Genomic DNA, 12,884 nt, shown 5'->3' with positions numbered 1-12,884 from the left:
AATGTGTAAAATCTGTGATGCTCGAGGGAGCGTCACTACAAGAAAGGATACAACAATTTGCAGACTTGGGAATGAGTGTCTGGAATTGGCATTGGGACCGACTACAGCTCTGCCAGACACACCCAGAAGTGGGTAATGGTTTCTTCAGTGATCAAAACTCCCAAACGAAGCCAGGCAGTTAAAATCAGCACAGATGGATTGCGAAATGGGTTCCTCTACAACATGGTTAGTGCCTAATAATAAAACAATCAAACCATACATAGTACAAACGTGTCTGACAGTGGGAGAGGACACAACAAGGGCAGAAAATGTGAATTAGATTCTGCCAAAATAAGACCCCCAGAAAAAGCCTGGGGCTTGACTATTCTAGCCAGCTGCCTCTAGGACCCTCCCTCAGGAAGATATTGAGGTTCCCAACTGTTTCCAGCAGCAAGTGCAGAAGAGGAGGAATTACTTTTGCTTAATCAGTGCTCTCCACTTCACTGAAAAGATGGAAGCCCTGGAACATAAATGTATTACTCACCTTCTTCTATCTCCAACCTCATCTTGTCCCTCTCCCTCTCTTCCGATAAATGACAGAAAAGATGATGAGTAATACAAGAGGCCAGGAGCTACACAGAGATTTTATAAAGACTTGTGGGCAGACTTTTGGAAAGGAAAGTGGTTGAGGAAGGAGGCAGGAGGGAATAGACCTCAAAGCTTATACCAAGGCAGAATTCAAAGACAGGATCTCCCTCAGGCTATGGCAGGGTGAGGAGGGTGGGAGGAGGTGTGCCCTAACTGTGTGTTGGGTTCTGGAGGAAGGAAAACCCTGACCAGCAGGGACACTGAGGCTAGTTCTTTCTTCATGCATCTTTGCAATGTTTTCCCATCACCCAGGAGGAGATTGAAGCAGCAGGAACCCAAAGCCATGGGCCTGAGCAGTAAAGCCATCTGAGGTCAAGTTCACCCACTAAGCTACTACTGTGTGCCAGCCCAGCACAAGGGCTGGGAACACACAGTTATCTCGAACATGATCCCTGCCCTCCAGTAGCTCACAGATGAGTGGAAAAGAAAGACACAGAACAAATCAAGGCAGTTACGCATTTTTTGCTGCTGGGACCAAGGTGAGGGGAGTGGAGAAGAAATTTGTTCCAACCAGGGTGGAAAGGAAAGTCATGAAAGCCTTTCTAGAAGAGGGGCCATAGAAATGAGTCTGGAAAGATAAATGAGCACTCCCTAGCAGGGAACATAGTTTAGGTAGACAAGGCCATTGAGGCGGAGTACAGCTGGCCAGTTGTTGGATAAACCTGGGGTAGTGAGCATGAGGATGGGGCAGGCTGAGGGAGGAGGCTGGAGGGGCAGGCCAGCCCAGGTCATCCCTGGCCTTGCAGGGATGGAGCAGGGTTGGGGCTTTACCCTACAGGCCATGGGGAGCATCAGAAGGCTTTAAGGGAATTAAGGCATTGGCAGTAATGTCCACTCTGGCTGCTATGTGAGGAGCGATGTGAGGAGTTAGATCCTCATTAATATGATTATTATGGGGATATTAATTTATGCAGGTGGACCAGAGGGTGGAACATCAGTGAGAAAGGCTGGCAAGAGATGATGGAGGCTTATATTAGGGCAGTGGCCATGGAGGAGTACCTGGATGCAGGGGTTTGGGGGAGCAGAGGGAACAGCAGCAAGACCAGGATAATCAACAAGGTCAGAGACCAGAGATCCAGATTCAGCCCAGTCCAGTGTTCCAGCCTCTGGCCCCATGCGCCTGCTGCCTGTCCCAGCTTTGGATGGAAAAGAAGTAGAGGGAGGTGCAGAAAAAAAGGAAAGGAAGGTATGAGACGCTGAGCAGTGACAGAATTGGGAGGTAGGAGGCGGACTGCAGCATGACCTCTTCCTTGAGCTAAGGAGCTGCACTCAGCACTGTGTGGTATGAACTTGGAGAAGTAGGATGGCTGGGAGGGAAGAAGACCCTTCCCTGACTTCCTTCAACAGACGTTTGTCCTGGGCCTGCTAAGAGAGTTGGAACTAGCAGACCTGGTTCAAATCCCAGGCAAACCAGTTACCAACTCAATGGCTTCACGTAAATGACTAAATCTCTGAGCCAGTTTCCCCATCTGGAAAATAGAGATGGCCATCCCTGCCATGGAGAGCTGCTTTAGGAGTTATAAATAATATGTATTATAGTAATTGGGCACAGAGTGGGTGTGCAGCAAATGGCAGTCAGTATTCTTTGCCTAGAACTCTGCTGAGGCTCTAATCACATACTGTGAGGGTGAACCTAAACAGTCCTAGGCTTTGGAAGGCTCTGTGTTTCCATGCTTCCCTCTGCTGGTCAAAAGAGGCAGTCTCCACTGAGGAGAGAATCGCAGGATGCTAAGACCAGACACAGCTCCCCGCCCCCTACCTAGACTAAGAATCCTCTTATATTGAACCTCAGGGTGAATCCTTCCAAAGGCAGCAGATGTGATGTAGCGTATAGACCACCAGCTACTTACCAACAGTGTGAAGTTGGATGCATCACTTCACCTCTCTGAGACTTTGTTTCCTTGGCTATAAAATGGGGTGATAATCTCTGACATGTTTCACAGTGTTGCTGTGAATCCCAAATGAGATTATGTCTATGGAACTTTTTAGAAAACCTGAGCTACGCATAAATGTTAGTGATCAGGCACTTTCTGATGTCCCTTCCCCACCACGCTAGGTGCTCATGCTGGCTGGGTATGTGCTCATGAGCACCCAGCATGAGCACCTCGTGTGGTGGGGAAGGGGCATGAGAAATATAAGAAGCTGCCCCCATCCTTGAGGAGCTCCAATCCAGTCAGGGAGACAAGTCATGCTTCAGGCAGTTATTGATGCTATGGGATGGGGACTCTGTGTGCCCAGAGGAAACAAGAAAAGACCTGCTGTTCTGTTGGCCTGTTCCAAGACCCCCAGTTTTTCATCCCTAAAAGTGCAGAGGCTGAAGCCACGTCCAGAATGACCAATAGGTCTCCAACTATTGCATATCTTGGTATAATCCTCCTTTCTGCCCCTCAAGGCCATCTTCCCCAAAGCAGTGAACAGGGAAATGTGGAAAGGGGTCGCCAGAGTCCACAGGCTAAAACCACAGCTGTCTCCAAGTATAGAAACCACCTCATATTGGGGTAAGACTCTCAAGAGACTGCTGTACATTGTAATACCTTCTCACCAGATTTCCTGGGCCAACCCCTAATGGGCTTCACAATTACCCTCACCTCCAAAGCTTTATTTTGACTTCACCTCACTAAACTTGTTAGATCACCATAGTTGGGTTTCCACCAAGGAAACTTACCCTGGTTTCCTAAATCTATAGAAACTCCTGAGGACATGGGTATGGACAAAAAATTACAGGGATAGAGGGAGGTTCAAATAGTCAAACAGGAATAAACTGGCAGGGAAACCGAGGTATACTTAGCCCTTCCTTAGAATTTAAAATCAGGAAAGAAAATGTTTTTGTCTGACAAGGAAAACATATAAATAAGCATTTTCCAAAATGAACTATTCAAAATGCTGATTTATTGCTAGACGTCAATAAATTTTCCATGGGAAAGGGGCTCCATGATCAATTAAACTTGGGAAACTGAGTAAAAAATAAATTTTGCTGCAAGATGCGTCAGAGCCTTCATTATTTAATGCCATTAGGACTCCTCAAACAGAATGGAGTGTAGTATATGCAGTATTTCCTAGGTTTATTTGACTAATGAACTGCTTATTCCAGACACTCTTATTAACATCTTATGGGACTTCAAGAATTTCATGAAGTTAAATGCTGATATCTATTGTGGTTCCCTTTGTGCCCTAGCTTCCAGGAAGCTCAATGTTAACCATAATGCTTATATGGCAGAAAGCATATAGCTCAGGTCTGAGATGGAATTATCTCCCCTAGTAATATTTCAGGATTCCTGGACAAGACATTGCTATTATTCCATAGCATTATAGGACAGATGTTGCTACAGAGAGTGTAACATTTCCTCCCACCCCTGACTACCCTTAGGCTCTATTCCAGGCTCATTAATGTGACCCCCTGAATCTTAGGTCTGGTTATTCCCAGCCCCTTAAGGATGCAGCACAAGACTAGGAGCCAAAGACTGTCCCTTGAGGGACTGTCTCTTGGGAATTCTCAAGGTGAAGGCTTACAGACCATCTGCTGCCAAGTCTGGGGAAGTCGCTAGGGTAGATAGTGACCCCATAATCCCTGAGGAATCAGAACTGCCTGCTCATTCCTTGGACCCAAAGAAAAGTCTTAGTCCACCTCCAAAATTGCCTGAATTGATAAGGGCTGTCCCAGGACAGTAGCTACCATGATGACCCTGCTCTACTATGAACCCCTAGCATATTACTGCCCCTAAGGACAGCTGAGGAGCCCTGGAATGTAAAATGGGCCTCTGCATGTTGCGGGAGAGACGGCTAGGACTTCCTGAGTTAACCAAAACCAGAAGTCTAATGCTCAAACCTCTCCAGGGAAAGAAAAAAAAAAAAACCCTGAGATCTTCCTAATCCCCCTGGAGACTGAGGAAGGCACCTCGATTCTTCCTCCAACCCATTCAATTGTCAGTTCACTGGGGAAGCATTACAGAATAGTGATTAAGACAAAAGTATTAGGAGTTAAATCTGAGTTCAAATCCAAGGTTTTCCACTTTATAGCTACTATGGTGAGTTGCTTAACTTCTCTGAGTCTGTTTGCTCATTTCAAAAAGGAGATAATAAACTTGGTGTGGTGGCTCACACCTGTAATTCCAGTATTTTGGGAGGCTGAAGTAGGAAGACTGTTTGAGCCAGGAGGCCAAGGCTGCAGTGAGCCATGATCATGCCACTGCACTCCAGCCTGAGCAACAGAGCAAGACTTTTCTTTTTCTCTTGAAGAAAAAGAAAAAGACAGATAATATTGTACCCATCTTATAGTGTTGTTAGGAGGATTAAATGAAATTATTTATATAAACTGTACTGTGGTATGACGAAATGTTTAATTTCAAAAATAAATAAAAGAAATAGACCACATCTGTGGTGTGGTGAAATAAAACAAGTAAATAAAAATTAAAAGTAAATTATTTATATAACATAGCACAGAGCTCAATAAGTGGCTATTGTTATTCCCAAGCATCCACTCTGGGCCCTGACATCCTTCAACAGACATTTGTCCTGGGCCTGGTAAGAGAGTTGGAACCAGCAGACCAGGTTCAAATCCCAGGCAAACCAGTTAACAACTCAATGGCTTCAGGTAAATGACTAAATCTCTGAGCCAGTCTCCCCATCTGGAAAATAGACATGGCCATCCCTGCTATGGAGAGCTGTGATGACCTGCTCTACTATGAACCCCTAGCATATTACTGCTCCCAAGGACAGCCCCCAAGGACAGTGTCGAGTAACATAGATTCAGAGACCAATCAATTTGTTAAGAATTCTCAGGCTAGTAAAGGAGATAGGCAAATGATCAGGCAATAATTACACAGAACTATCAGTGCTGTGGCTGAGGGAAGCCCATGGGCTTAGAGAACACAACTTCAGCCCTAATAAGTGAAAAAGACATTCGGCCACAAATGATTGGAAAGGGAGAGGTAAGGCTGTCACTATGTACAAATAATATAACTGTCTGCATAAAATGAAACAAAAAAAAATCTGTAGACAAATTATTAGAATTATTAGGAGAGTATAGCAAGGCAACTGGATGGAGAGTTAATATACAGAGGTCAGTGCAGTTCTATTCACCAGCAACAAAAAAATTACTGTAGAAAACAATATTTAAAAGATACCATCTCTAATAGCAACAAAATTATAAGGTATTGAGGCACAAATGTAACACAAAGTTGTGTAGGATCTATGTACAAATAAGTATAACACATTATTGAGAGATATCTCCTCAATAAAGTGATTAAAGCTAACATAACCAATATTTAGACAAGTAGCATTGTATGCCCTCAGATGTGATACACGTCACTGATCTATAATATCATTCCTGCCAAAAAAAAAATGTTTACTCTAAATCTATCATGAGGAAACAATCATACAACAATTTTTAAAATAATTGTTTTTTTATAGACACGACTGATTGCTATTCTGTGCACTTAAACTGATTGTGATGACTTTTCATTTGTTTACATACATTGCTTCAGTCTTCTCAGGTGAAAGTAGTGAGAAAACCGTAAGTGAGGTGAAACACTTATCCACCATATGCTATTTCATTAGAAGTGTTACTGGCAGTCCACAAAATTAACTTATCCCCATAGACTTCTCATTCCTCTCCAGCCCAAAGTGCAAAACCACAGCAGGGAGAAGTGGAGCACAACATAGCCAATTAGCCAATTCACCCTCACTTCAATATGATTTTTTTTTCTGAGATGGAGTTTTGTTCTTGTTGCCCAGGCTGAAGTGCAATGGCGCGATCTTGGCTCACTGCAACCTCCGCCTCTCAGGTTCAAGTGATTCTCCTGCCTCAGCCTCCCAAATAGCTGGGAGTACAGGCATGCGCCACCATGTCCACTAATTTTGTATTTTTAGTAGAGACAGGGTTTCACCATGTTGGCCAGGCTGGTCTCTAACTTCTGACCTCAGGTGATCCACCTGCCTCAGCCTCCCAAAGTGCTGGGATTACAGGCATGAGCCACTGCACCCGGCCTCAGCATGCTTTTAAATGCAACATGCCACTGTCTCACTACCAAAAATCTGCACACCTTAAAAACCCTAAAGGAAAAGGAACAGCATCAACATGCCATTTATTTTTGTCATCTTGAACTAAAAGTACAGCTGCAAGCAAGCTTGCTGTAGGACAAACTTTAGCTTGAGAGACATCAACTATCTGCACTCAGGGACTTGATCGATTTCCAGGGGAACATCTATGGAAGGTCAGGTTAATACCTAATTTCAGGTTGTTTGCTACTTTTAACTCAATGCAGAGTCTAGTTATAATAAAGAGTCAAACAATGCTTTAAATTTGGTATACTTTCATGGATTTTTTTCCTCTTTTAAAGGAAAAGAAAGGATAGGGAAAAGGTAAATGTGACACATTTTCTGCTTAGAAAAAGTAATGCCTTATAAAATTTTAACTAATTCAACCATTCAGGGTGGTCAGCGCAGTAAATCTTTTATTTCTTCAAAATGCTGCTTCTGCCAACAGAATTTCATGTTCTCTTCTTTACAGATAGGAACTCCTTTACAGTCGAATTGTAATTCCATTTGCCCTTCTGGCCAGTTCCTACATCTCCATTTCATTATGATTTTTTTATTTGTTAAAGATTCTATATATTCATCAGTGATGTTCCCAACAAACATTTGGAATTTCCCTCCCTTTTCAGCTTCTAATACAGCAGAAGATTTAGAAAATTTTTGCACCAAATCCTTCATAGTGAAGATGCTGTACAACTGTTCTACAGTTACGTCAAACTGTGCCCTCATGGGAAGAGCCATAGCGGGAATTCTTACACCCAGTGCCACTGGAGATGAGGCCCGAACCTGCAAGATATTCTCGCTCCATTTTCTTTTAACAGTCAATTCCTAGGTTGCCATAGTTTTCACTGGTAAAACCATTCCCATTGTAAATTCTGTCTTGAGTGTCTTCAGGTAATCTCCAAGGACCTCCTCCCTGACCTTAGCAGTGCCTGCAGTTTTCATAAGATCATTCAGTATATCCCCATCTCCTTTCTTTTTACTCACATTCACCTCGGTGTCATCTACTTCATTTTCTTCAGAAAGATTGGGTATTTCAATCAATCCCTTATGCTTCACGTCAGATTCTTTAATGATACCTTTCCAGCCCAGTTTGATGTTTCACTCACACAAGAAAATCACCTTTCCTTTGTGGATGCTGCAAGAAGCCTTACCTTCCACCTGCTTTAGCTCGCTGATCTCTCAGTGGCCAGCCTCATCCTCCACAACAATGACCACCAGGAGCTCCTGGAGCTTCTCTTTGGACCAGCTGGTGGCATCCCACTCAGTGCCAGCTGTTCACGTTGCTTCCATCCTCCTGCTCCTCCACAATCCAGCGTGGGTTCTCCAGCTTCACTTAACCATGGCTGTGCAGGCTGGCCAATCATACAATTGCTGGTGGAATTGTAAATTGGCCTGACCCAATTATTGGGTCAATCATACAACAATTGCTGATGGGACTGTAAATTAGCCCAATCCTTTTGAATCCAAACTTTAGAACATTGTCCAAACAACTGGCCTATACTTCCAAGAACATCATAAAAGAAAAAATTCACATAGGTTAGTAACAGGCTAGAGAACTGTTCCAGATTAAAGGAGAAAAAAGAGACAAGACAGCAAAACATAATCTGAGATCTTTAATTGGATCCTGATCTGCTAAATAATTAGCTGTGAAGGTCATCAAAGGGATAGTTAGTGAGTTTTTAATATGGATCATATATTAGAGGATAACAGTGTATCAGTATTCAATTTCCTCAGTGTGATAATTATGTTGTATTCATTCAGAAGAATGTCCTTGTACTTAGGAGTTACCTGTAGAAATATTTGGAAGGGGGAGGTTTCATAATTTAGGAGAAAATTAACCTCAAAGAGGTTAGAATAAAAAACATATTAATACTTATATAGGCAGCTGAGGCAAATGTGGTAAGGGTAAATAGGTATTGATTTACTGCTCTTATGAATATTCTGTAGCTCTGACAATTTTTGCAAAATAAACAGTTCAGGAAAAAAACTTACTGAAAGATATTAAAGAAGATCTAAACAAATGAAGGCAACATTTATATCATGTTCATAAATAGAAATACTCAATATAGTTAAAAGATTAATTTTAGATTGACTGCAACCCCAATTAAAATCTCCACAGGCTTTTTAAAATAAAACTTGACAAATGTATTGTAAATTAATATGGAAGAGGAAAGGTCCAAGAATATCCCAGGTATTTCTGAAGAAGAAAAATAGGGAGGAAGGACTCGTCTTACCAGCTATCAGAACATATTATGAAATCATGGTAATTAAGACAGTGTGGCGGTAAAAATTGGTCAATGTGGATTAGAATAGACAGCCCCAAAATAGATCTATCACACAATATTATAGAAATGGAAAAGGTGAAATTGGATTCCTATTTTTCCCTATACATACACACAAAAAAATCCACTCAAGATGGACTAAAAACCAAAAGGGAAAATAAAAAACTTCAAAACATTTAATATAAAATGTAGGTTAATATCTTTATCACTTTGATCTAGGGAACAATTCCTTGAAAAATCTACCCAAAAAGGCACTAATCATACAAGAAAAGATTAATAAACTGAACTATATTAAAATAATTACTTCTGTTGATGAAAGACATTTTAAAGAAAGAAAACAGATAATTTACAAACTGGGAGAAAATAATTGTAACAAATAACCAGCAAAGGATTTATATCAAAAACCAGCAAAGGATTTATATCAAAAACTATAGAGCCCAGGCGTGGTGGCTCATGCCTGTAATCCCAACACTTTGGGAGGCCAAGGCAGGAGGATCATGAGGTCAGGAGTTCAAGACCAGCCTGGTCAACATAGTGAAACCCCGTCTCTACTAAAAATACAAATATTAGCCAGGTGTGGTGGCACGTGCCTGTAATCCAGCTACTCAGGATGCTGAGGCAGGAGAATCACTTGAAGCTGGGAGGCAGAGGTTGCAGTGAGCCAAGACTGCACCATTGCACTCCAGCCTGGGTAACAAAGTGAGACTCCATCTAAAAAAAAAAATAAATAAATAAAATAAAAATCTATAAAATGCCTCAGACATTCAGAGTAGGAAAAATGAACAAAAATCATGATTAGACATTTTGCAGGAAAGGGAACCATATCTTCAATAAATGTTGGTTCAATCTCATTACTAATAAGGGAAGATAAAGACAAAGATGAAATTCAAGTTACCCCCATTCAATCTGAAAAAATTAAGAAGTCTGGCAACAGCAAGTATTGGAGAGAATGTGGGTCAACCATTCTACTATACATTGTTGGTGGGAGTGTAATTTGACACAACCGTTCTGGAAAAAAGAAAAGTATTATCTTGTAAAGTTGAATTTTCACATACTCTATAACCCAGAAATTTCACTTCAAAATATGTGTGTATATGTGTATGTGTGTGTGTATGTACAAAAAGACATGCACCGGGAGACATGTACAACAATATTTTCAGTAGTACTATTTGTAGTAGCAAAATAATGACAGTAACTCCAATGCTCATTGACAGGAAAATTGACAAATAAATTGTAATATATTTGCACAAAAGAATATTTTGTATATACCAGCAAAATTGAATGAACTGTAGCCTGTATAACAACTTGAACAAATCTTGGTAACATTTTGTTGAAAGAGAAAAAGCAAGCCTCAGAAGATGGTGTACAGCATGATACCCTTTTTCATAAATTTTAATAAAAACTAAAACTAAAAATATACGTTGGGTATATAGTTTTAATCAAAAATATTATGAATATAAATTTCAGGATGATGTTTACCAGGGGATGGGAAAGGGTGATGAACGCCTAAATGTAAATTATTGCTGTTGATGTTACTTCTTGGATTGGGTTGGGTTGTGAGTTGGACTGTGGGCGTGAATGTGGAGAGAGAGACTAGAGAGAAGAAGAGAGGAAAAAGAAAGGCAGAAGGGAGGGAGGAAAAAGAAAGGAGGAAAAGGGGGAAGGAGGGAAGGAGGGAAGAAGGGAAAGAGGTGTATGCAAGAGTCAAAGATGACAGCGTCAGGAGACAAGATTAAAAATCAGCTGATTTTTTGCATAGTGTCAAGCAAAAGAGGAGGAAGAAAAGGAAGAGACACTTAAGCAGCCTAAGAGAAATTAGGGAAGGCTTTCTGGAACCAAGTACAGGACTACCTTGTTTTATTATGCTTCACTTTATTGCACTCCACAGATACTGAGTATTTTTTTTTTAGATTGAAGGTTTGTGGCAACCCCGCAACAAGCAAGTCTATCTGTGCCATTTTTTCAACAGCATGTGTTCATTTCATGTCTCTGTGTCACATTTCTGTAATTTTGCAATATTTCTAACTTTATTATTATTGTGTCTGTTATGGTGATCAGTGATCTCTGATGTTACCATTGTAATTGTTTTGGGGAGCCAGGAACCACACCCATATAAGATGGTAAACTTAATTGATAAATGTTGTGTGTGTTCTGACCACTCTACCGACTAGCCACCCTCCATCTCTCTCCCTCTCCTTGAGCCTCTCTATTCCCTGAACACAATATTATTGAAATTAGACCAATTAATAATTCTAGGCCAGGCGCAGTAACTCACACCTGTAACCCCAGCACTTTGGGAGGCCGAGGCAGGCGGATCACTTGAGGTTAGGAGTTCAAGACCAGCCTGGCCAACATGGTGAAACCCCATCTCTACTGATAATATAAAAATTATCTGGGCATGGTGGTGCAAGCCTATAATCCCAGCTACTGGGGAGGTTGAGGCACAAGAATCGCTTCAACTCAGGATGCGGAGGTTGCAGTCAGCCGAGATCACACCACTGCACTCCAGCCTGGGTGACAGAGTGAAACTGTGTCTCAAATAATAATAATAATGCTGCAATGGCCTCTAAGTGTTCAAGTGAAAGAAAGAGTCAGAGTCGCACATCTCTCACTTTAAATCAAAAGCTATAAATGATTAAGCTTAGTGACGAAGGCATTTCGAAAGCCAAGATAGGCAAAGAGCTAGGCCTCTTGCACCAAACACTTAGACAAGTTATAAGTGCAAAGGAAAAGTTCTTGAAGTGCTAATTCAGTGAAGACACAAATGTTAAGAAATCAAAATTGCCTTATTGCTGTCATGGAGAAAGTTTTAGTGGTCTGTCTAGATCAAACCAGCCACAACATTCCCTGAAGCAAAAACCTAATCCAGAGCAAGGCCCTAACTCTCCTCAATTTCATGAGGGCTGAGAGAGGTGAGGAAGCTGAAGAAGAAACGTTTGATGCTAGCAGAAGTTGGTTTATAAGGTTTAAGGAAAGAAGCCATCTCCATAACATAAAAATACAAGGCGAAGCAGCAAATGCTGATGTAGAAGCTGCAGCAAGTTAACCAGAAGATCTAGATAAGATCATTGATAAAGATGATGACACTAAACAGATTTTCAATGTAGATAAAACAGCCTTCTATTGGAAGAAGATGTCATCTAGGACTTTCCTAGCTAGAGAAGAGAAGTCAATGCCTGGATTCAAAGCTTCAAAAGACAAGCTGGCTCTCCTGTTAGGGGCTAATGGAGCTGGTAACTCTAAAGTTGAAGCAAATGCTCATTTGCCATTTCAAAAATCCTAGGGCTAAATTTATACTAAATCTACTCTGCTTGTGATCTATTAATGAAACAACGAGCCTGGATGACAGCACATTTGCTTACAGCATTGTTTAAGCCCACTGTTGAGACCTACTACTCAGGAAAAAAAAAGATTCCTTTCAAGATATTACATCTCATTGACAATGCACCTGGTCACCCAAGAGCTCTGATGGAGATATACAGGGAGATTAACGTTGTTTTCACGCCTGCTAACACAACATTCATTCTATAGCCATGGATCAAGAAGTAATTTTGACTTTCAAATCTTATTATTTAAGAAATACAGCCAGGTGTGGTCACTTACACCTGTAGTCCTAGCACTTTGGGAGGCCAAGGTAGGTGCACCACTTGAACCCAGGAGTTTGAGGCCAGTCTAGGAAACATAGAGAAACCCTGTCCCTACAAAAAATTCAAAAATTAGCTGGGCCTGGTCAAGCTTGCCTGTAGTCCCAGCTACTCAGGAGACTGAGGTGGGAGGATTGCCTGAGCCTAGGAGGCAGAGGTTGCAGTGAGTCAAGATCATGCCACTGCACTCCAGTCTGGGTAACAGAGAAAGACCCTGTCTAAAAAAAAAAAAAAAAAAAAAAAGGAAGAAAGAAATACATTTTTTAAGGCTAAAGGTGCCAAAGATAGTGGTTCC

At 41.5% G+C, this 12,884-nt stretch overlaps 1 annotated feature.

Moving 5' to 3' along the window:
• Positions 5,032-5,259: a silencer, noted in NCBI's record as "fragment chr1:47210608-47210835 (GRCh37/hg19 assembly coordinates)". NCBI's record gives its function as "represses an EF-1alpha promoter that drives an FKBP-Casp9 reporter gene in an ReSE screen in HepG2 liver carcinoma cells {active_cell/tissue: HepG2}" and the evidence as "EXISTENCE:reporter gene assay evidence [ECO:0000049][PMID:32094911]".

The sequence above is a fragment of the Homo sapiens genome, chromosome 1 (assembly GCF_000001405.40).
Source record: "Homo sapiens chromosome 1, GRCh38.p14 Primary Assembly".
NCBI lineage: Eukaryota > Metazoa > Chordata > Mammalia > Primates > Hominidae > Homo > Homo sapiens.
This window is presented reverse-complemented; position numbering and strand designations above follow the sequence as displayed.